The sequence below is a fragment of the Homo sapiens genome, chromosome 3, assembly GCF_000001405.40.
Source record: "Homo sapiens chromosome 3, GRCh38.p14 Primary Assembly".
NCBI classification, from domain to species: domain Eukaryota; kingdom Metazoa; phylum Chordata; class Mammalia; order Primates; family Hominidae; genus Homo; species Homo sapiens.
The window spans coordinates 126,187,466-126,210,654 of NC_000003.12; the positions used below are offsets into that span (position 1 = coordinate 126,187,466).

At 42.4% G+C, this 23,189-nt stretch overlaps 1 protein-coding gene and 1 long non-coding RNA gene across 2 annotated transcripts in view, besides 2 other annotated features; one reads left to right on the forward strand and one right to left on the reverse strand.

Moving 5' to 3' along the window:
- The window catches only part of ALDH1L1 (aldehyde dehydrogenase 1 family member L1), a 94,376-nt gene extending 83,896 nt beyond the window's left edge, over positions 1-10,480 (reverse strand). The window contains exon 1 of the mRNA XM_024453325.2: positions 10,270-10,480. The gene's annotated coding sequence lies outside the window, so the exon portion shown is untranslated. The remainder of the gene's footprint in view (positions 1-10,269) is intronic.
- Positions 1-22,704, forward strand: part of ALDH1L1-AS2 (ALDH1L1 antisense RNA 2) — a 30,105-nt gene extending 7,401 nt beyond the window's left edge. The window contains exon 2 of the long non-coding RNA NR_046383.1: positions 20,861-22,704. This is a non-coding gene — a long non-coding RNA (ALDH1L1 antisense RNA 2). The remainder of the gene's footprint in view (positions 1-20,860) is intronic.
- Positions 10,873-10,922: an enhancer, noted in NCBI's record as "active region_20437". NCBI's record gives its function as "activates an Ori minimal core promoter by ATAC-STARR-seq in GM12878 lymphoblastoid cells {active_cell/tissue: GM12878}" and the evidence as "EXISTENCE:reporter gene assay evidence [ECO:0000049][PMID:35858748]".
- Positions 20,664-21,863: an enhancer, noted in NCBI's record as "MED14-independent group 3 enhancer chr3:125926972-125928171 (GRCh37/hg19 assembly coordinates)". NCBI's record gives its function as "activates an origin of replication core promoter dependent on BRD2, BRD4, P300/CBP and CDK7 cofactors, and independent of MED14, by STARR-seq in HCT116 cells {active_cell/tissue: HCT116}" and the evidence as "EXISTENCE:reporter gene assay evidence [ECO:0000049][PMID:35650434]".
- Positions 22,705-23,189: the final 485 nt, after the last annotated feature.

Consider the following 23,189-nt stretch of genomic DNA (forward strand, 5'->3'; position numbering starts at 1 on the left):
AGGTGGGATGCAGGAGAGGGAAGCTCGAGCAGTCCTTGTGGGATTGGGGAATGGGAGAGCGGTGGAAGGACCCTGGGCCGTATTGAAGGCACACCTCAGTTTACAGTGGGGCGAAACTGCGCGTTTGAGACCCCAGAAGCATCAGACTACTCAAGAAGCAGGCACGGAGGAAAAGGAAACCCATCTCTGAGTTTACCCAAGACTGACCCAGATGGTTTCAGTGAAAATCAAAGGGCAGTCTTGGACTGCAGATTCTGAGCTGGACGAGGAAAATGCTGGTGAATTGAGGGAAACTATCAAGGGCCCTTTAAGACCAATGAGAGGGTCGTGCTGGAGCAGTTGAACCGGAGACTAAAAGAGCAGACCCAGAACAGAAGGTGGAGGTGAGGAGTCTGAACGAGAGGTTCGGGTGACAACGGCTCTGTCAAAAAGAAAAAAACCTTAAGCAAGTTTAAACTTGTCAGAGTTTATTTGAGAAGAAAAAAAAAGATTTGTGAGTTGGGCAGCCCTCAGAACCAGAACAGGTTCAAAGAGCTCCTGGCTGCTACACGGTCAGGCTGCATTTATGGACAGAAAGTGGAAGTGAGGCAAAAAGAACAACTTAATTGGTTGCAGCTCAGCATTGTATCTCACTTGAAGCAGCCGGCTGCCTGTTACTAACTGAAAGTCAGATATTTGTGACATGAGTATACATTTGATCCTTGGACAACGCAGGTTGGACCTGTGCGGGTCCATGTTTGCAGGATTTTTAAAATAAATACAGTTGGCCCTCCATATTGGCAGTTTCTGCATCTACAACCAAATACAAATCAAAAATACAGCATTTGTGGAATGTGAAACCTGTGTATGCAAAGGGCCAACTTTTCGTATTCATGGGTTTCACAGAGGCAATTGTGGGACTTCAGTATGCACGGGTTTTGGTATCCGCAGGTGGTCCTGGAACCAATGCCTTGCAGATACCGAGAGACCACTGTGCTCCTAAGTTAGTTACATTTAGCAGGAATTACTCCATATTGGCTTGGTCTGTTGGGCCCAGTAAAGGAGCTTTCTCCAAATCAGTAGCCTCCTGCAAATTTAATTTAACAACCCCTTCCTTTTGGTCAGGATCTCACCTAAGTAAGAATGTGAATAAAACTTAGGGCATCAGCGCTCCTCCCACTTACCGTCATTTTAGATATTCAGTCTCAACGTGTCATTTATTCATAGTCCTCATGATCATACTTTTGAGGATTTTTGTCATTCCAATAAATAGATACCATTTAATGTTTAACAGATAGCTGCATGCAAACATTTAAAAATTTTTGAAAGAATACAATGCACCAGGAAGACTACTATTATGACTATTGGGAGCATGATACCAAGAGTTTAAAGTATGCCCCTTACCCAGGGTCCCCATGAAACAAATCAACTACAGTCGAATAGATCAAACAATACACCAAATGAAGAGTGCACCCATTTTAACCAAATAGCCTGTTTGTTGTTTTTTTGTGACTGAGTCTGTACAGTACCCGACGTATTTATTCATATGCAACAAAAAGCATCAGCACCGACTCCTCCTTGCTCAGCTGATAAGCCATCTCGCATCCCATGACTGGGCCAAATCAAAGCAGGAGTTTTGTGGGCCAGAAGTCCAGCTCTATAAAAGGGACCACAAATACAATTTAAATAGGCAATTGCATTAGGTATGTTCCTAAAGTTAATCACTAAGTGAACTAATGGATCCCTTAGATCATGTAAAGTTCTGGATTAGCAGAAAAAAAATTCAACATTTTGTATTTATGGTGAATTTCTAACTACAGAAGTATCCTTCCAAGTAAAAAAGTAGGCATAAACGAGGAAAACTCAACAGGGAAAGCGTCTCATTAAGAGAAGAGTTTAGTTCCCACGTATTGGGAAAACTGTTCATATCTAACATGTCATCTGCTTCCAGGAAAATTTCCCCATGGCCAGCTTTACCTTAAAGTCTACAACAGGTGTGCACTTCCAGGAAACTTGAGAGGCCGTTTGAGCTGTGAGTTGTGAACCCAGCCAAGGTTCAAGGCCCCAAAGCTTGGCTGCAGTGTGGGTAGTGAGAAGAACTTGCTGTGGTGCCTACCCACAGGGTTCCAGGGCAATCTTTCTTTGATGTCTTTTCCAGAAGACCTTGTCTTCAGGTTCTAAACTGTGAGGGACTTGATTGTTCTCAGCTCATGGATCATGGAAAGTTTCTTTTATCTGGTGAGAATATACTTTGGCATAATACATGAAAGCCTTACATTATTTAGTTATATCAGAATTGAGGAGAGTGGGAGATACATGAGTTCTATTTTTAAGGGCACAGGCCTCCAATAACTACTACATAAAGGTTCAGTCTATGTTTTCCACTGGGAGTGAATCTGATTCCCCGCAAAGCCAATGGTAGTGCCTTTGGCCAAGGCAATCCAATTGATTCAGTTGTCAATTTCAGTTTCTTAAAATGCCATTTGTTCTTTCAACTTTTCTAGAAGATTGAGGGTGATGGGGACAATGATAGTGTCATTGTGTTTGCAATACCTTGTTTAACTGCTTTAGAGTTTGTCCAGTAACATAGATTCCTCTGTTGCAGGAGATTCTTCTCCAGGGGCGCCCCAGAAAGGAAACACATTTCTAATAACATATTAGCAACTATCCTAGCATCAGCTTTCTTACATGGGAAAGCTTCTATCTGACCAGAGAACATGCAAACTATTACAATAACATGCTGATATCCCATCAAGGGTGGAAGTTGAATGAAGTTCATCTGCAAATATTCAAATGGTTCATCATGTGGTAGAAATAAATACACCACCTGAAGCTTTCATTGTCTTCCCAGGATTATGGGTTTGACAAATCAAACATTGGCTATCAACTCTTTTAGCAATTTTAGAACAATCACCCCACCAATATTTTTCGTAATTTGGATCACCGTAATGAGCTATGGAGTGCAGAGCCCTTAACAACGGAAGCTTCAAGGACTCAGAGAGGACCAAGTGGCTATCCAGGGCCTCCATGGGTCCACACTTCACGCTGAATTTACGTGTTTTCAGATACCAATTTTGTTTTTCCAAATTGGTGCACTGCACTGTTTATTAAGTAAGTCATCATAGAGGAGCTGACTTTGATCAATCTTATGGAGTTTATTGAAATTACACATCCTAACAATTTTAGTACTGGCTGACTTAGCATGAACATCTGCCAGGGCATTCCCTTGATACTCAGGTGCAGTTTTATAAGTAGGTGTTTTGATTTTAATAATGGCAGTTTGTGATGGTAACAGGATGGCAGAAAGGAGTTCATTTATTTGGAGTTCATTTTTGATGGGGATCCCACTGGAAGTGAGAAGCCCCCTTTGTTTCCATAACATGCTGAAATTATGAAGTACTTCTAAAGTATATCTGCTATCTAAAAATATCTACTGATTTATCTTAACTATGTGACAATCTCAGGTAAAAGCAAAAAGCTCTGCAGGTTAGGCTGATTTAAATTGGGGAAGAGTTTCCTTTCCTATTAATTCATTTTGAGTGGTAACAGCATACCCCACCTGACATTTTCCTTCTGAGTTTTCAGCCCAAGACTCATCAACAAACAAATGTCGCCTTGGGATTAGCTAATGGAGTGCTTCATAAAGCAGCATGCTAGACCACTGATTGAGATACCACACTCACACTGTAATCAGCCAGAGGTAGCAGAGTGCAACAGCTTAGATGGAGATTGGGAGGCAAAAGGATTTCATTAGATGACAATCTACTTGCTGAAAAATGCTGAATTTGACTGGAATTTAATAAATTTTCCACAACATGTGGGGCTTGCGTAAAAGTTCATTCCCTAAGACTAACTCAGGTTAAAACTCTACTGATATGGCAGCTGTGGCTACTGCTTTTAGTGGTGAGGATGTGCCTCAGCTGCGGGGGCTGACTGCCAGCTGTAATGTGCAATGGGCCTATTGTTTTCCCTCATGCCTGATTGCCATGTTCATGAATGAACAAGGTGAAAAGTTTAGTGCAATTTGGAAGTCCTAAGGTTGGGGCTGCGGTAAGGCCGGTTTCTGCCAGTGAGAAGCCTACTCCTGACTGCCCTCCCATGGTGCAGGTTCTGGTGCTGCATTCTTAGTGAGCTCATACAATGGTGAGATGGTTAAGGAAAAGCTTGGAACCCAGGATCTGCAGTATCCTGCAAGTCTCAGAAAACCTCTTCACTGTCTTTTAGCTGTAGGCCAGGGAAAACCTTGAGTGGTTTTTATTCTTTTGGAAACCCTTTCCACAGTCAGGTCATGCCTTAGAGTGAAACTTTCTCCTTGAAAACTGAAGGCTTTCCATCAAAACTTTGTGACCTTTATGTGCAAGTTGCTGTAAGAGGTGAAGTAAGTCCATTTTAGACCACACTTTAGTGGGAGAGCAAAGCAAGAGATAATCTACATGCCAAATGAGGGGAGAATTTCAAGGAAATTGCAAGGTTGTCAAGTCCTGGTGTAATGCCTGGGAAAAATAAGGAGGCGCTTCAGGAAACCTCTGTGGCATTACAGTCCAGGTATACTTTGATTTTTCTAAGTAAAAAGCGAACAAATACTGACTCTCTTTCTCAGCTAGAATGCTAAAGAAAGCTGGACAGGGGCTTATGACTGTGAGCCATTCTGAATCAATGGGCACACTGGACAATCAAGTGTTAGAGTTTGGAACCACAGGAAACCTTGGTATCACGATTTTATTAAGTGCTCGTAAATCGTGAACAAATCTCCCTCCTTGTGCATCCTTGTCCCTTGATTTTTTTTAACTGGTAAGACTGGAATATTACAAGGACTGATACATAGAATAAGTCCTTGTTTAATTAAATCTTCTGCAATTGATGAGAGTCCTTGAATTGCCCAGGCCTCAGTAAATATTAGGATAATTTACATAAAGGTTTAGAATGATCGGTTTAGACTTTTATAGGTACCATACTTTTAACCCTTCCTATATCAGTAAAGGAAGAAGCCTATAAACATTTGGGTATTTTAGAGAGATCAAAGATATTGCAGGCCTGAGTTTTGATCTTGTCAGTTTCTGCCTGTGGAGAGCACAACAGATCTCGTTCAGGAGGTCAGGAAATTCTAACATTAACTCCTGCTCTGCAGGAAACTTCATATGCCTCTTTAGCTTAGCAGATAAGTCTTGCCCTAGTGAGTTACTAGAAGAGTGTCACATAGGAAGAAGGTTCACTTTTCTGAAAATGGCCCCAGCATCAACTGGACAGTTTCCGACATGGGTACTATTGTGTCTGATTCAAAACCCCCACCACAGAAATGACCTTTCCACTTTCAGGGATTTGTCAGCTTGTTAAAAGAAAAACTTCAGCTGAATTAAATTTAAAGGAGTTTAATTGAGTGATGAATGATTCGTGAATCGGGCAGCCCCCAGAATCACAGCAGATTTGGAGAGACTGCAGAGATGCCTCAGGGTCAGAACAAATTTATAGACAAAAAAGGGAAGTGACATACAGGAATCGGAGGTGAGGTACAGAACAGCTGAACTGGCTACAGGTTGGAGTTTGCCTTATTTGAACACAATTTGAATGCTCAGCAGTGTGTGAGTGGTTGAAGTATGGCTGCTGGGATTGGCCAGGACTCAGCGACTGTTACAAGTGCATACTCCTAAGTTAGGTTTTCAATCTTGTCTACCTACTAAGTTAGGTTACAGTTCATCCACAAGACTTGAATATAGAAGTATGGAGCCCTTCTCAGGCCATATTTAGTTTGCTTTAATAATTCCCCCTTTTGGTCATTTTCTCAGTTTTGAGAGATTGACCAAAACTTTAGTCATTGATGTCACTATCTATAAGAGAAAAACAGACCTAGTCTGTTCTAGTCTAGGATCTGTGTCCTTCCTTAAAGTCTTAGCTCAATTATGTCACATTTAGTATAAGCAACTCCATTTTTGTTTGGTTTGGTCTGTTGGAGTCTAGTGCATGAGCTCAGTCCAAAACAATTGGCCTCCTATAATTTTGTTTTTTTAAAAAAATCCCCCTTTTTGCTGGGTTCTCACTTAAGTGAGAGTGTAACCAAAACTTAGGGCCGTAGCACCACTTTCAGTTACCATCATTTTGGGTTTCTGGTCTCAGCATGTCATTCAAAGCTTACAGTGTCCTCATGGTCCCATGTTTCTTTCGGCTGGGCTCAGGAAGGACAAGGCAGCCATCCTGGTTCTCCATGAGTCCATGCTTAATTAACATCAGAGTTATATTCTCTTGAATACCAGTTGTTTTTCCAAATTAGGTGCATAGCACTGATAACTGATGGGTCATAATAGGCAATTTGAAGTAGACCATGCATTTCATTCAAATTGTATAACTAAAAAATTTCAGTATTGGCTGATTTACTGTGAAAATCTGACAAAGTATTTTCTTGATATTTAATTAATTTTTGTTCTACTTAGGTTAGCAATTTTATAACCTAGTCAGTCTTTTCATTAAAGTTCCAGGAATTCTTACCCAATTCAAATGATTCTAAAGTTATTAGAAACCTGCACTCCAGAGTGCTTTTTAGGGTCCATTTCATCCTTTCATGAGTCTCCTAAAAGACACCATATTCTAGGATTTTACGTGCTTGTGAAGTTTTCAAAAACTGCATCAGCACTAAGCAATTAACTGTGGAAATGACTTTAAATACTAATAGTCAAAGGCACAATATAAATAGTAATTTGGTTATTTCTGTGGTCTACAGTAACTTAACATAATAACCATAATTATGATTGATAGCATATACTCAGACATATTAGAATTTTAGAAATCCCATACAATTTTAGAATATACATTAGTATCATTCACTAAATGTAATCTGAAGAAGGTTAAACATTATTTCTTTGACAAGGCTTCCTATGTAATAACATATCAAATAATCCTGTTTACCTCTCTTTTGGATGCTTCAGCGGCTCTCTGTAGCATCCCAAAGTTAAGGTCAGAAAAGACTATTTTGAAGCTGAAATTTGATTTTGGAAAGCCTATCAAATATGTTAAAGGTTTAAAACACTTGGTATTATGCTTAATCAGTTTAACCATGAGGTGAGATTCTTATAAACCTTTTATCACCCTCTACAATTTTTGTAAAAGAGCAGATCAGTGCTTCAAGAAAACCATTTGTGCTTTTATTTCAATGTTCGATTTATGGAAAAACTGAATAATACCCCTTTAAATTTAGTCAATATGTTCAAACACAGAATATTTTTACCAGATTAATTTTTAGAAAACTTCCGCAACTTGTTCAGACCCTTAGCTTTTTCTTATCTAATTTGAAACAATCCTTTAGCCCTCTAAACTAGGCAAAAATTTACATTTCCATCCCTTCTTATAATCTTTTACCAAAAACACATTTCACTCTCCTCACATACCTTGCATGTAAAACTATTTTTTAGTAGTTTTAATTATATGTTACAATGGTAACTTTTAGCAACTTTTACTTTTGGTGCATAAATTTCTTTTCATGAATCCTTTCACAATGTACACAGACCATCTACAACATGCTTGGACTTTCTGACTTGTCCTAAACATCCCTCTTTTTAAACAACTAGTTATTTTATTTTAGGACAAAAATTTACCATGCGAGATCCTTTCCTATATAAAATCTCTTTTCTGTATAACCTTCTTTGCATAGCCAAGATGCATGGCTAATTCCACATGTCCCCAGGCCTTATCTAGAATCTAATGTCTCCAAAGTAGGTAAGTTGAACAATTTCAAAAGTCAAAGCAGTTTATAACCTTAAAGCATTTAGCAAATCTAATATCTGACCTGTCTATATTAGACCAAATATCTTTATTTTACCAATAATCTTTAAAGCTGTTTTTATTTCCCAAAGATTACTAAAGTTATATAAACTAAGACATTACAGTTTTTACTTTCCTGACAAAATATTTGATTTAAGCACATATTTTTCTTTAGGCCAATTAATTAGAGCTCTCTTATATAAACATTACACACTCAACACATATATAACTACACAGGCAGAACAAAAGAAGACCCAGTAGTTTCTCAACAGGAGCTGGAGAGGATGTGGAGAAATACGAACACTTTTACACTGTTGGTGGGACTGTAAACTAGTTCAACCATTGTGGAAGACAGTGTGGCAATTCCTCAAGGATCTAGAACTAGAAATACCATTTGACCCAGCCATCCCATTACTGGGTATATACCCAAAGGATTATAAATCATGCTGCTATAAAGGCACATGCACACATATATTTATTGTGGCACTATTCACAATAGCAAAGACTTGGAACCAACCTAAATGTCCATCAATGATAGACTGAATTAAGAAAATGAGGCACATATACACCATGGAATACTATGCAGCCATAAAAAAGGATGAGTTCATGTCCTTTGTAGGGACATGGATGAAGCTGGAAACCATCATTCTCAGCAAACTATCGCAAGGACAAAAAACCAAACACCGCACGTTCTCACTCATAGGTGGGAACCGAACAATGAGAACACTTGGACACAGGAAGGGGAACATCACACACCGGGGCCTGTCATGGGGTGGGGGAAGAGGGGAGGGAAAGCATTAGGAGATATACCTAATGTAAATGACGAGTTAATGGGTGCAGCACACCAACATGGCACATGTATACATATGTAACAAACCTGCACATTGTGCACATGTACCCTAGAACTTAAAGTATAATAAAAAATAAAAAAAAGAAGACCCAGTAGTTTCTATGTCTCTTAATTGGATTACTGGGTTTAGGGTAGAGTCCTTGGAAGGACAGGGCCAGGAAAGCATGCAGTTTCTAGGGCCTAATATAATAAGCAGTCACAGCTGGAAGGCAAAACCGACCTTCAAAAATTAAGGGTCTCATTTTTATACCATTTGGTCTGGTCTAAAGAACAGAGCCTTAGATTTTGAGAGGGATCTATCCATTTCCAATGCCTGGGATTCCATGAAGAAAACAGCTTTTTTTTTTTTTTTTTTCCAAAATGGGGTCTCTGGCACCTCTTATTTTTCCCAAAGAGCCCAAGGCTGTTAGAGCTTGAATATCTGCTTTTAATTAAGCTGAATTTTAACCATAGTGCTCTTTCTAAAAACTCCTTTTAAATTTCTTATTACCTGACTTTAGCCAGGCCAAATGGCCAATATTTCTGGCTTCTGAACTTTACCAATGGTAACCTTACAGATGAAACCAACAAAGCTCAACTAAGGATATGACTTAACCACAAGTGTACTAGGTATTTTCAAAGAGGTGGTAAGCAGTTTTTACAAAACCTGGAATTTTTAAAGGTAGCTCAGAGAAAGGAAGATTTAAGAAGGGAAGCTAGAGGTTGTTCATGGATGGGAAGAAAATCAGGAAGTGGTAAAAGTCACACAGGTGTTAACCAGAAAGTACTCATTCTCTAAGCTTGGAATCAAACCCAGGCCACCAATGTGAAAGGACAAAACCTTAGCTACTGAGCTACAATACTGGGCAGTCTCCATCGCCCTTCCCAGAAGGAGTCTAGAGTAGTTAATTTTGAGCTTGCAAAGCCTTTCAACTACTCAAGATAATTTTTAGAGTTTGCTGTGACATGAACCCTAAAATTCCTATCCCCTGGAAGGCAGAGACCAAGAGAAAGTACCACCACGAAGTTACAAGTTCAAGCTACCAATGACATAAAACAAGATGGAGACCTAATCCAGTTTTTGTTTGTTTGTTTGTTTCAGGGACCTGCTGCAACACAAAAGAAAAAAAATTAATGCACTCTAGTGTATTTGTTGTTTATTTGGAATGTACCACTGTAAGTTATCTTTAGTAACGTTTCGCTGTTTCTGTAAGACTTTGCTGCCTCCCGGGCCTAATGTATAAGCCAGAAGGAACTTGGTTTTCCAGAAATTAAGGATCCCATTTTTACCTAAAACATTGGCTTTACTATCAGGTTTCCTAGATTAACTTAGCCAATGAATTTTTTTTCCCACCTAAACGCACAAGAAAAATGAAACAAAAGAGTAGAATACAAAAATCCCTGAAAATTTTTAAAAGCCAAATTTTACACCCCCTGCAATATTACCATTTATGACCAGTTCCTTTCTGACCCAGTCAGATGTAAGAGTCCTCTAACTGGATCCAAGCCAGTTAATTCCCAGATCAAATCCATTCCTGGACCCAGTCCAGTTTCTGTCATGACTTCCAAACCCAGCTTGGATCAGAAATTTGCTCAAAGAAACTGAGAGCTCAAAACACAAATCCATGGAGCTCCGAAATCCGAGAGAGAATTTACCCACGATCCCCAGCCATTCTGAGAGATCAATGGACACAAATAGGTCCTGCAGTTACCTTGCTTGTTCACTCAGTACTCCTGGGGGTCGCTAGAAGCTGTACTTTGGATCCCGCTTCTGACACCATGTTAAAAGAAAAACTTCAGCCAAATTAAATTTAAAAAAGTTTAATTGAGCAATGAACGATTCACAAATTGGGCAGCCCTCAGAATCACAGCAGATTCAGAGAGACTCCAGGGTTGCCTCGTGGACAGAACAAATTTATAGACAAAAAAAAAAAGGAAGTGACTTGCAGAAATCAGAAGTGAGGTACAGAACAGCTGGATTGGTTACAGCTCGGCGTTTGCCTTATTTGAACACAGTTTGAACACTGAGTGGTGTATGGGTGGTTGAAGTATGGCTGCTGGGATTGGCCAGGACTCAGCGATTGTTACAGGTGCATACTCCTAAGTTAGATTTTCAATCTTGTCCACCTATTAAGTTAGGTTGCAGTTCATCCACAAGGACTCAAACATAGAAGTACAGAGTCCTTCTCAAGCCATATTTAGTTTGCTTTAACAGCTTATTAAAGTGGGGTTTGTGAAAGATAAAGTAGCCCCAATATTCACCAGCATGGTACACGTTCCCTGCTTGTCTTAGCCTCTGTTTCTCATTATTTATCAAAAGGCATCACAGGCAACAGCTAGCTGGAGGGTCCCTCCTGCAGCCAGGCTGATTGTGATCTCATGGACTCCCTCTAGTGGGCAGACCATCCCCGCTGAAAGGAGGAGGCTCCTTGGTAGACTTGGATGACTAGGCAGCCTCTCTCCCAGGGACCTGGCTGTTTGCAATGTAGGCAGACATCTTGGGGTGAAGGGTTTCTTACTCTAGGTTCTTTAGGCTGTGGTTTAAAACAAGGAGAAGATGGTCCCTTTGGCTTTGGCCCCTGTAATTGTTGCAATTGAAAAGACATAAGCTTATTAGCTTTTTGTGCTTTTTCTTATTCTGGAGTCCTTTGAAAATGCTCAGCTAAAGCCACGAATTCAACCATGTCTGTCATTCCCCATCCAAGTTCATGCTTCTTAATGCAACTGCTAAATTCGGGACAACGTTTGTTTATAAATAGAGCAGTTAATGCCATTTTAGTCCCTACAGGAAATTCTCCTTGCTGTCTTTTGAGTGCAGAATGTTTCACAAATAGTGTTTCTAAACCAGCTCTGCAATATGAAATGGGTCCGTCCTTTTTTCACCTGCAAGACTGTCTGACAGATGGATCCTTTTTTTGTGGAGAAGACTTAGGAACTGAATTTAAAAGGTTTTCAGTGTTCTTCCAGCTTGTTGTAGCAAGAAGGTTTTTTAAGGTCTTTAATATCCCCTCGGGTTCTCTCTATTCTGCTGCTTTCATACACCTTTGAGCTTTACCAAGTCCCAAAATCAAGTGAATAAATTGATAAAGTCAGAAGTTCCTGGATCATAAGCTCCTATGGGGATTCTAAATTCCTAGGTAAACATTTGAGGATTTTCTCTTGCATCAGGAAAGTATCTTATGAAGGCTCTAAGTTCAGCTTCAGAGCATGGAGTAAAAGTGGTTACAGCAGGCAGGCCTAGGTGTTCAGAGGGTCTCACTTTGTAAGACAGTTGTCCAACCTCTCCTTTTCATTTTCCTCAAGATGGAAAGGTACTTGAGCAAAACAATCAGTGGACTCAGGGTATTGAAGTAATGGCAAAGACAGCAAGGAGCAGTCAGAGTTAATTCAATTCAATGAGCGGCAGTCCTCCTTCCTCTGGTCCTCAGTTTGCTGATTAAGCTTTTTATTTGTCTCCTGGGAAGAAACCTTTAAGTCAGACACTCTTTGTTTAATCTTTTACATGTTTCTGCATACCAATTAAAAATGCATTCCGTTGTTCTTGTGGGTTTTTTCTCTTTGTATTTCTAATTTTTCCCTGAAAATAAACAATTTTATCTAAATTAAAACTTCTCAGCCAGGCACAGTGGCTCATCCTTGTGATCCAAGCACTTTGGGAGGCTGAGGGGGATGGATCACTTGAGACCAGGAGTTCAAGACAAGCCTGGGCAACAGGGTGAAACCCCATCTCTACAAAAAATACAAAAATTAGCTGGGGGCGGGGGGTGGTGTGCACCTGTAATCTCAGCTACTTGGGAGGCTAAGACAGAATAATCCCTTGAGCCCAGGAGGCAGAGGTTGCAGTGAGCCGAGATCGCACCATTGCACTCCAGTCTGGGTAAAAGGAGTAAAACTCTGTCTCATCAAACAAGCAAACAAACTTCCCCACTGTGGCTGCTGTAACTCTAAATTATTTTTGGTAAGGCTCACCCATTTCTCCAGAAAAGCCCTGATTCTGGGTCCATAGTTCATATACAAGAAATTGACTAGAGTCCCAGATGGGGGAGTTCTAAGCTCCTTGGATCCCAGTGAACCCATGATTCCCTATCTCCTAGGAACCCTACCTACCACACCCAGTTCAGTTTCTTCTTGACCCAGCCAGACATCTGAAACCTCTATAGGATCCAGTCCAGTTTGAAGATTTCTGAACCCAGTCTGGATCAAATTTCTCAAATAAGCTCAGAGAGCTCAGAACCCGAATGAGTGGAGCTCAGAATCCGAGAGGGCTCAATCCACCATCCCCAGTTCCAGGGGATCAGTGGGCACAATGGGCCTGGTGGGTGCCTTTGCTTTGCCACCCCCTGCTCCTGGGGGTCACTATGCTCCTCTTTGAGTTTCTTCACATTCACTGATCTGTTGAAAAGGGAAAACCTCAGGCAAGCTTAAATTTATCAGGTTTATTTAAGGGGAAAAAAACTTGCAAGCTGGGCAGCCCTTAGAACTAGAACAAGTTCAGAGAACTCCTGCCTGCCACATGGTCAGACAGCATTTATGAACAGAAAACCAACATGGAGCAAAAAGAACAACTAAGTTGGCTACAGCTCAGCGTTTTATCTCACTGGGTCGGCTGACTGCCTACTATGACATAAGGCTCAAGCCTTAACTAACCAAACTCAGCTATTTGTTGCCTTAGTATACTCTTAAGGAAATTAGTGACATTTAGCATGAGTGACTCCATATTGGCTTGGTCTGCTGGATGCAGGAGAGGAGCCTGATTCAAATCAATGGCCCCTACAAATGTTACTGAAGAGTTCTAAGGAGGGTTCCTGAGGTGGCTGTGGCCATGAGGGCCCGCTTGAGGCTGAAGATGGGAAGCACACACATTCTTATATTCTCCATTCTCTGCAGTTGGTGTTTGCTTATTCCTGGGCTGGCCACCACCTTTTGTAATTGCTGTAGCTTTTTGCTTTATTTTTCAAATTATGTTATTAAAAATTAACTATGCACTCTTTGACCCAGCCATTCCACTTCTGTGTATTTTACCCAAGAGAAATGAAGATATACATCCACACAAAGACTTGTAGAATGTTCACAGCAGCCTATTCACCATAGTCAAGACCTGAACACAAGTCAAATGCCCACCAATTGGAGAATGAATAAAAAAATTAATACTTTTATACAGTAGAGTATTATTTATTAATAAAAAGGAAGGAATACATGCAGCAATATTATGTTAAGTGACAGAAGCCAGACTCAAAATAGTACATGCTGTGTGACTTTTCTACAGGATGTTTGAGATCAGATAAAACTAATGTATGGTAATAAAAGTCAGCACAGTCACTGGGTGAGGGTGGGGTTGACCGGAAAGCAACCCCAGGATATTTCTTGGTGCAATGAAATGTCCTCTAGCTTGTTCGAGATGGTGGCTGTGCAGGTTGTGAAACTGCCAAAACCCATTAAACACAACATGTAAGATCTGTAAACAGAAATTATTATAAGGTTAAAATTAACTACAAAAGGAATATGTGCTTGGTATAAAACACGAAACAATCCAAAAATGAATAGAGAAAAAGTTAACAACCCACTCACCCTCTTTGGACTTCCCTGAGGCAATTGCTATTACTGTTGTTTGTGTACAGAACTGAAGGCCTGTTACTATCCTGCAAAAACTCTTGTTACTATTCAAGCATCACGCCTGTAATCCTAACACTTTGGGAGGCCAAGGTGGGAGAATCACTTGAAGCCAGGGGTTCAAGACCAGCCTGGGCAAAACAGTCTCTACAGATTTTTTAAAAAATATATTAGCCAGGCATGGCAGCATGCAGCTGTAGTCCTAGCTGCTTAGGAGGCTGAAGCAAGAGTACGGCTTGAGCCCAGGAGTTTGAACCTGGGTGACAGAGTGAGATTCTGTCTCTAAAAACAAAAACAAAATGAAATTGATATTGAAACTTTCAGTTCAAATTTAGGCTTGTAACATTTTATGTAGCTTCTTTGGTCTCAATAAAAAAATAATTTGAAAACAAGAAAGATTCTAAGAAGATAATTAGATAAGTGAAATAATGACATTCAATAGGTTTGAAATATAAAGTTAGAAACACCTTCCAAAAATTAGATTAAAATGATGAATAAATGGAAAATAACATAAAAGATAAAAGGTTTAGAAAATCAACCCATAAAAGATGAAAGGTTTAGAAAATCCACCCATGAATCAACCCAACATTGAACAATAAGTGAAGTCGCATATATTCTAGTTGACTTCCAGTTACTGTATGAAACTTTTTTCATTTATTAGACATGTAGGGAATAGACTGACCACTGAACTGAGACACTCTCAGACAATCACAGCGTTCAATCACAGACAATTGCAGACATTCTCAGACAATCACAGTGTTGTGCCTTCTTAGCTACGGCCCCAGACTCCACCACAGCAGGTGGGAAGTTCAGCCAGTTCCATTTCAGACTTGAAGGGCCAGGACACCCAGATGGCAAAGACTGGCCTCATGCCCACTAAGGATGAGTTGCGAAGCAGACATTCATGAGAAAGGGAAAGGAGAGATGCTGACAACCACATCCACACAGCTCTTGGACAAGGAAACTAGGATGCAAATAACAACAGCATCTTGGAAAAAGGTGGTGCTGCACTTGAAAGGAAGACAGGAACCCACTTTTAAATATTTTATTCCCAATGAAACATGAGACAATGAAACAGGAGCACTTGTTAACTCAAAGAAGGACTGAAAATATGCCCCCTTCCTCAAAACTCTTTTTTAGAAGCCACTGGAGCACGCAATCCAGAAAAAAAAAAAAAAGAAAAAAAAAACAGAACAAACAAAGGAACAGCAAGATCTGGATGCAGGAGCCGTGGGGGCGGGTACTGGTACAGGACACGGGCTACAGTCAGTCTCAGGATGCCTGCAGGCTGGGCAGCCAGAGGTCCTGTGCAGCAAGGCAGAGGTGCTGGGGCACAGTGGGGTTGACAGAGTCTGCAAGATGAGGCACCTTATAAAGGATATGGCCATGTACTTGACAGGTCTAATGCAGCATTTTGAAAAAATAAATAAAGATCAGTGCACCAAAATGAAGCAAATTTTAAAATGAGGTCATCACTAACTCTAAGCGAAACAAAAAGTTGGACTAGGAAAAAACCCCACCATATACTACTATTGCGTTTGCAGTGTGGTACATAGTCTTAATAGACTACTAATGTATAATAGATTGTAAAATTTATCAATATTTTACTACATCCGTACTGGGAGATTGGAGGGTTGGGGAGAAAGGGAAAATGCAGAGAAGGGGGCTGGCACAAGGAATAAATCTTCATCTGTCCTGACAAACACTCCGCAGAGCATATCAGAAATTACTCATTGGGCAATAGCTGTGCAAGCGTATTATTTGGAAGCACTTATTAATGTGTTTGGTATTTCCACTCTTGTTGGATGTGTGCAGCAGGCCCACTTCAGGTGCAGAAGGGGAGGTCCATTGTCTCATCCTTGTACACCTAGCACCACCAGGGTGTCTGCAGAAGGCAGGGCTTAGTGAGCTAATGAACAGGCAAACACATACACGTCCTTGGATATCCCTCTGCCACATTCAGGGAGCAGGGGTCTGTGTGTAGGGAACCTGCTCCTAAGGCAGTTGGCTGTTGTCTACCCCACCCCCCCACACACACACCTAGGCTGGACTTACCCTCTCAGGCCCCAAAGGTCAGGCCAGGTAGGGCTGGGACAGCCTCCCTAGCAGGGCCTGATGGCTAAGGAAGCAGGGATGTAGGCTGAGAAAGAGAAGGAGGGAGACACGGGGGTTGCAGGCTCTGATTTCAGGTCCATGCTGGGGCCCTGATGGCTCATGCTAGAGATGGGTATCATGCTTGCAAAGTTCTACAGGAAACGGGAACATGGGCACCGTGTCCCTGGGCTGCCTGGGTCCTCCCTGCCAAGTCCAGTTCTGCTTAGACTCACACGCGGCCATCTCTCCATTTATAGGGTTACTCCAGTGAGTTCAATTACAGCACTGATTCCCTGTGCTGAGGGCTCAGGACAGGCAAAGAGCTGCCCTTGACTTCCGGGATTCTTAGGTTCCCCATGGCACTGATACTGTGGACTTGTGAAATTTCATTTCTGATAAGATTGCATAAATCCCAATGAGGTCACTGTATTAGTCTGTTCTCGCATTGTATAAAGAACTACCTGAGACTGGGTAACTTATAAGAAAAGAAGTTTTAATTGGCTCATGGTTCCACAGGAAGCATAGCTGGGAGGGCCTCAGGAAACTTTCAATCATGGTGGAAGGCAAAGGGAAAGCAGGCACATCTTACATGGCCAGAGAAGGAAGAAGAGGAGAGAGAGGCGGGAGGTGACACACACTTTTAAACAACCAGATATGAGAACTCACTATACCAAGAGCAACAGTGGGGATCTGGCCACACGATCCAATCACCCCGCACCAGGCCTTTCCTCCAACATTGGGGATTACAATTTGAGGTGAGATTTGGGCGGGGACACAAATCCAAACCATATCAGTCACCTTCTAATGAAATGCTTTTTAATGAGGTCGAGAGCTTTGCAATTGGTGCAGAGGGCATACACCTGGGAGAGTTTTTTCTATAAGGGTTTTTCGCTGAAGCTTCCTGAAAGTATTGGTGTCTTTATGTTGTAATGGGTGGGCCACTGAGTTCAACCAACATTTAAACAAGCACTTGCTATGTATTGGCCTGGATGAAAAAGGCAGGGTCCCTGTGCTCCAGAAGTTCAGAGTCAGGGAAGGGAGATGGATGTGTCCAATCCATTCATTCTCTTGATAAATGTGTACTGAGCACCTAGGATATGTTGGACACTGTCCCAGACACTGAGATATAGCAAAGAACAAAATTTCAAAAAAACACCACATAGGACTTACCTGACTGGGAACAGACAATAAGCATAATAAAGATGGGAATTATCAGCTATATGAAATGGAGAAAAATAAAGTAGGGGAGAGGAGAGGGAGAGTTGAGGGAGGTTGCATTTTAAACAGAGTGGTGAGGGAAGCTTCATGATAGAGTGATAACTGAGCGGAAACCTACTGAAGGAAAGTGAGTCAAGTACACCCAGGGGAAGGGCACACCAGGGGGAGGAGCATCTGGTGGGAAGGGCACACCTGGATGAAAAGTACAACTGGGGGAATGGTGTACCTGGGGAGTGAGTGTACCTCAGGAAAGGGTGCAACTGGGGAGAGGGAGCACCTGGGGGAAGGGTACACATGGCAAGTTGGTACACCTGGGAGAAGGTTCACCTGGGGAGTAGGTGCACTTGGGGAGACGGTACATCTGTGGAGAGGGCACAGCTGGGGGAAGAGTACACCTGGGGAGGGGGTGCACCTGGGGAGTGGGTGCCTCTAGGAAGAGGGTGCACCTGGGGGAAGGGTGCACCTAAGGAGTGGGTATACTTGGGGAAATGGTGCACTTGGGGGAAGGGTACACCTGGGGAGAGGGTGCACCTGGTGGAAGGGTATACCTGAGGAGTGGGTGCACCTGGGGAGAGGGTGTACCTAGGGAGTGGGTACACTTGGAGAAAGGGTGTTCCTGGGATGTGGGTGCACCTGGGGGAAGGGAGTACCTGTGGAAAAGGTGCACCTAGAAAAGGTACACCTAGGGAAAGGGTGTACCTAGGGGAAAGGTACACCTGGGGAGTGGGTATACCTGGGGAAAGGGTATACCTGGGAGAAAGGTACACCTGGGAGGTGGCTGCACCTAGGAGATGGACACACCTGCGGGAAGGGTTCATCTTGGGGAGGGATTGTCTCATCTCCCTATCCTTTCCCTCCCCTTGTCATTCAAACCTCTAAAATACAAGCTTTTCTCAACTTGGGGCTTGGGGACAAGGGTCACAGAGTCAGTAACCATTAGAAGCAGTATGTAATCATTTGTGTGTACTGCATACAGTGGCATTTTTCTCTAGTGAGACAATTTGTGACTTTAGAATGAGCTTTTTCCCAAAGATTGAGAATCCTGGGATGTTTATTCAATTTCACTCATGAATGCAATGGTTTATTAAAGAATACATTTCCAGAGGAAGTGATGGTCAGAGACGCTTGCTAAGCTTCTAACAGAAGCTTGCAGCCCTGAAGGCTGCCTGCCTCCTCCTGGAGGTCATACCCAGATCTATGCTGGACACCCAGGTCGTGCAAAGCTCAGAGGTCAGCAGGGCTGCCTCTGCCAGCTCCTTTCATGGAAGCTGAGGCACAAGCCTGACAACTTGTTCACTTGCAGCTGACTTCATGCTTTTTGCTTTAGCACATACTTGAGAGAATGTTTCAATTGGAGTCCAATCAGACCAGCCATCCTACTTTGCCATTTTATCACAACCTCAGCACATACACAGGAAAGTTTTAGCAGTTCAACAGAACATTTTTAGTCATTTGGCAGAAGTAGTATGCCAATTTGCAAATTTGCTGGAAATTTCCCAATATACAATCTCTGTTAACAAGCTCATTACAAAACTTCTCACAGCCTCCCTGGGGGATTGTACTAGGAACTAGATGTATCCAAGGCACTAATGTTGTTTCTAGATATTTTATTTTTATTGTGATTGTAAAAGAGATCTTTGTTCACTTTATTTTGTAAAGGGTTGTTGCAAGTATATATAAATGCAACTTATCACTGTGTTTATTTTATATCCAGCCACTTTATTCTCTTACTATTATCCCTAAATACTTGCTACGTCTTTGAGGAATGCCCATATTTTTCTGCCCTGTGGACATCACTTCTTGACCAATAAATTGGGAGTTCAGTGCTGGATTCTGAGCAGGGAAGTGATGTGTGCCTTCTAAGCAGAAGCTCTCTGGGTATCTGTTACTGCTTTTAAAACCATCCCACTGTAATCCCAGCACTTTGGGAGGCCGAGGTGGGCAGATCACGAGGTCAGTAGATCGAGACCATCCTGGCTAACACGGTGAAACCCCGTCTCTACTAAAAATGCAAAAAAAAATTAGCCAGGCATGGTGGCAGGCGCCTGTAGTCCCAGCTACTCGGGAGGCTGAGGCAGGAGAAGGCGTGAACCCAGGAAGTGGAGCTTGCAGTGAGCCAAGATCGCGCCACTGCACTCCAGCCTGTAAGCAAGACTCTGTCTCACAAAAAACAAAATAAAACAAAAAAACAAAACAAAACAAAAACACCATCCCAACACAGAGTGGCTTAAAATAATGGTTCATTATGATGTAATGGCCCTGTGGACTGGGTGCGGTAGTTCTTTCTTAGGTTTCTTATGTGTGGTAGTCAGTTTCTGGCTGCGGCTGCACACCACCTGAAGGCTCAGCTGGGCCGGATGTCCAAAATGGCCGAGTCGCACAGTGAGCAGTGGATTCTGACTGTCACCTGGAGCCTCAGTGGGGGCTCTTCACTGGAGCACTCACATATGGCATCTCCACATGGCTTGGGATTCTCACAGCCTGACAGCTAAATTCCAGGAGGGAACATTATCAAGAGATCCAGGCATCTTACAAGCCCAGCCTCAGAAGTCCTAGAATGTTACTTCCATCACAATCCATTGGTTAAGCAAGTCACTAAGGTTAGTCCAGACTTTGTTAGTAAGACAAAGGCAAGATTCCAGTACTTGGTGTAAGAATCATCCAGCACATACAGGGAGGAAAGAAATTGATGGTGACTGTCTTTGGAGACTATCCATACCAAGCTTTAAAAATCATCACCTGGTTCCGCAAGCTCTTTTCCTTGGCCATGAGGCCAGCGTGTCCCAGGTAAGGGCCGCTAGAACTCAATGGACTGATTCGTTCATTCGGGCATGCATTTTAAGTTAATAAACACTTACTGAGTCTCCACTGAGTGCATACATGATGGAATCAAACCAAACCAAGGCCCTCTTCAGCTATACCCATGTCTGGGGCACAGGAGGGATAGTGGGGGCAGGCTGTGCTTGTTAGGCAGATGAGTTCAGAACTACAGAGTGATGCAAATATTAACACCTATGTAGCACTTACTGTATGCCAAGTATTACCATTTTACATACTTTACACATTGTGCTTTACAGCAGAACCTGAGAAACACGCTCATCAAGTCCAGGAAATAAATAGAGGTATCAGCTGTCACTTTTTTATTGTAAAATTTTTTAGTAGTGCAATAAAATAAAAACAAAATAGAATACATAATTATTAAGAGAGAAGACATAAAACATTACTATTTTCAGATACAATGATTTTGATCTGCAGAAGTCTCAAGAGAATAAACAGAAAAATTCCTAAAATTAGTAAGTAAAGCCCTAGCTCCATCACGTACAAGCCTTATGAGCTTAGGTCACTCACTTCCTGTCTCTTCTCTCATCTGAACCTCTGTAGGGCCCTGGAAATGGGGGATCTCCTGCCTTGACAGCTCATCAGTACGTGTGAAAAGCCAACAAGAGTGGATATGATAGGAACTGCAATCACACAGCACTTTGGAGAATGTGAAGATTGGTGCTCACAGCAGAAGTTAACACACTGATGCTGTGATCACTGTTCAGTAGGTGGAATGGTCCTTAGTGATCCTTGAAGAGTAGCTGCAACTGGAAGACACAGAATGGAGAGGGTGGATCATGCAAATGAAAAGATGGGCTCCAACATTCAGCGGAAGGAATTTATGGTTGGTTCCCCCGTTTTTTTGTTGGCGGTGGTGGTTTATTTTCATTCCCCATGCCCGGTCCTTCTGATGGCACTCACTGATTTGGCTCTAGGGCACAAGTCTATGTTGCATGCAGTCCTGGTGTAACAATCAATTGAGGCATTTCCTGGGCGAGGAGCTGGGACACGGGCCAAGCCAATCAGACTCTGGTTCCCCCAGGACGCTGAGTCATAGTGGAGCCATGCCAAGACGGAAACAGCTGACCTGCTGTGCTGCTGCCATGGCTCCCTGAGGAGTGTCCCTCAGTTCCTAAGAGGGGACTGTCTGCACGCTGGCTCTTATGGGTTGATTTTGCACTTTTTCTTTGATTCTGAGAGCTACCCACATCCTCTCCAATTCTTGCTCCAGTCAACCAGACACAGTTTCTATTGCTTGCGGTGGAAGACATGCCCATGCAGAAGGCGTCAAGGCTCTTGGGAAGATGGGGAGTGGCATGTGTTCTCATGGTGTTCACAGCTGCACATGGGAAACACCTCATTGCCTTCGCACAACAAACCCAAGAGGGAGGGGGTTCCTTCCCCAATTCTGCAAATGGAAAAACTGAGGCTCAGAGGGGAAATTGATCTCTCAGTGTCACAGCCAATGAATGACAGAGGGAAAGTTGTGGTCCAGGGCTGAGTCCGGGTTCCACAGTGTGTAGATGAATTTCTTCAACCCCTTCATCATGTGACAAGAGCCACAAGGTCTCCAGGCCTCCTGGACATGACAGGTGTTTGCTCACAAACTGAAACTTTCTCTGCTGGGTCACACCCTCCTCGCCCATCCCTACTCTTGGTGCAGGGCATGAGCTGGACCCTGGAAGACCAATGGGTATTCAACTTTCAGAAAGCCTTGGCGAGGTCTAGTGATGAAATAATTTTGTCATTTGGAATGCTGACAAAAAAAATTTGAATTTTTCGGCCATAGTTTCATTTCCATAAATCACTTCATTCTTATCCTAATCCTTCCCCAACTGTTTGTCAAAATTCCCATCAAATATTTTTCCACTTGGAAGACTGATTTTTAACACTCATACCCCACCCCCACCAGGCCACGGTGTGGACATTTTTCATTCCTAAAGTCAGGAGGCCAGAGACATTTCCAAGAGAGATCAAAGCACTTGCTGGCCACGTTGGAAAATGAGAAGGGAGGATAAGGGTGTGAAGGGGCATCCTGCCTCCAGGAGGGACCCCCTCCAAGTGAGTTAAGAGATGTGGGCCAGGAGGGCTGAGCAGTAGCATCCACTGGGAAGCCCTGGGCTCCAGGCCCAGCCCTGTAGCTGCCTCACTGGACAAGCCCTTCCAGCTGGCCTCGGAGGACATGGACCATCTTCCCGGGTTTGGCTGTGTATCCCAGTAGCACCATGGAGTAGCCAGGGCCCTTGGCCAGGCCACTAAACTACACCGTACCCCCCTTGTCATCTGTTGCATGCAGGCATCAGAATTTACCTTTAAAGAAGTGTTTCTCAAACTTGAGTCACTTAGTTTTCATGGCATATTTATACAATATATGTGCGATTATTAAAAGTTTCCTTTAAATCAAATTATTGCCTTTGTTTAAATATCTTTCTGTAACTTGCACATATCATCACTGAAGATGGAAAACCAGTATCACATGCCGTAAACAAAGGGTAACTAAACAAAATAGCACAACTATAAAATAACAGATTTCATATGTCCCCTAAAATCAACTTGTGTACTACCAGTGATATGCACACCCAATTTTGGAAACACTACTTTAAGGGGGTTGGGATATGAACTCAAATACCTCCAACTCTAATATCCCCAAGTCCTTCAATTATCAGGGGTTTCTATTTCATAATTTAAAAAACAAGCAGCCTGAATCCACATTCTACATGCGATGGCAAGTCTCCTCCCACCCATTTCTTCTTCCCTTAGGAGACTTTTGTGGATTTCCAAAAGGTTCATGTTTTTCAGGAACAAACCAATGGCCAAACCGTGGTGTGGTGGGGGTTGAGGGGTGTGAGCTACCTCCTTTCCCACAGTGCCTAGCTCCTCGCTGGCAATC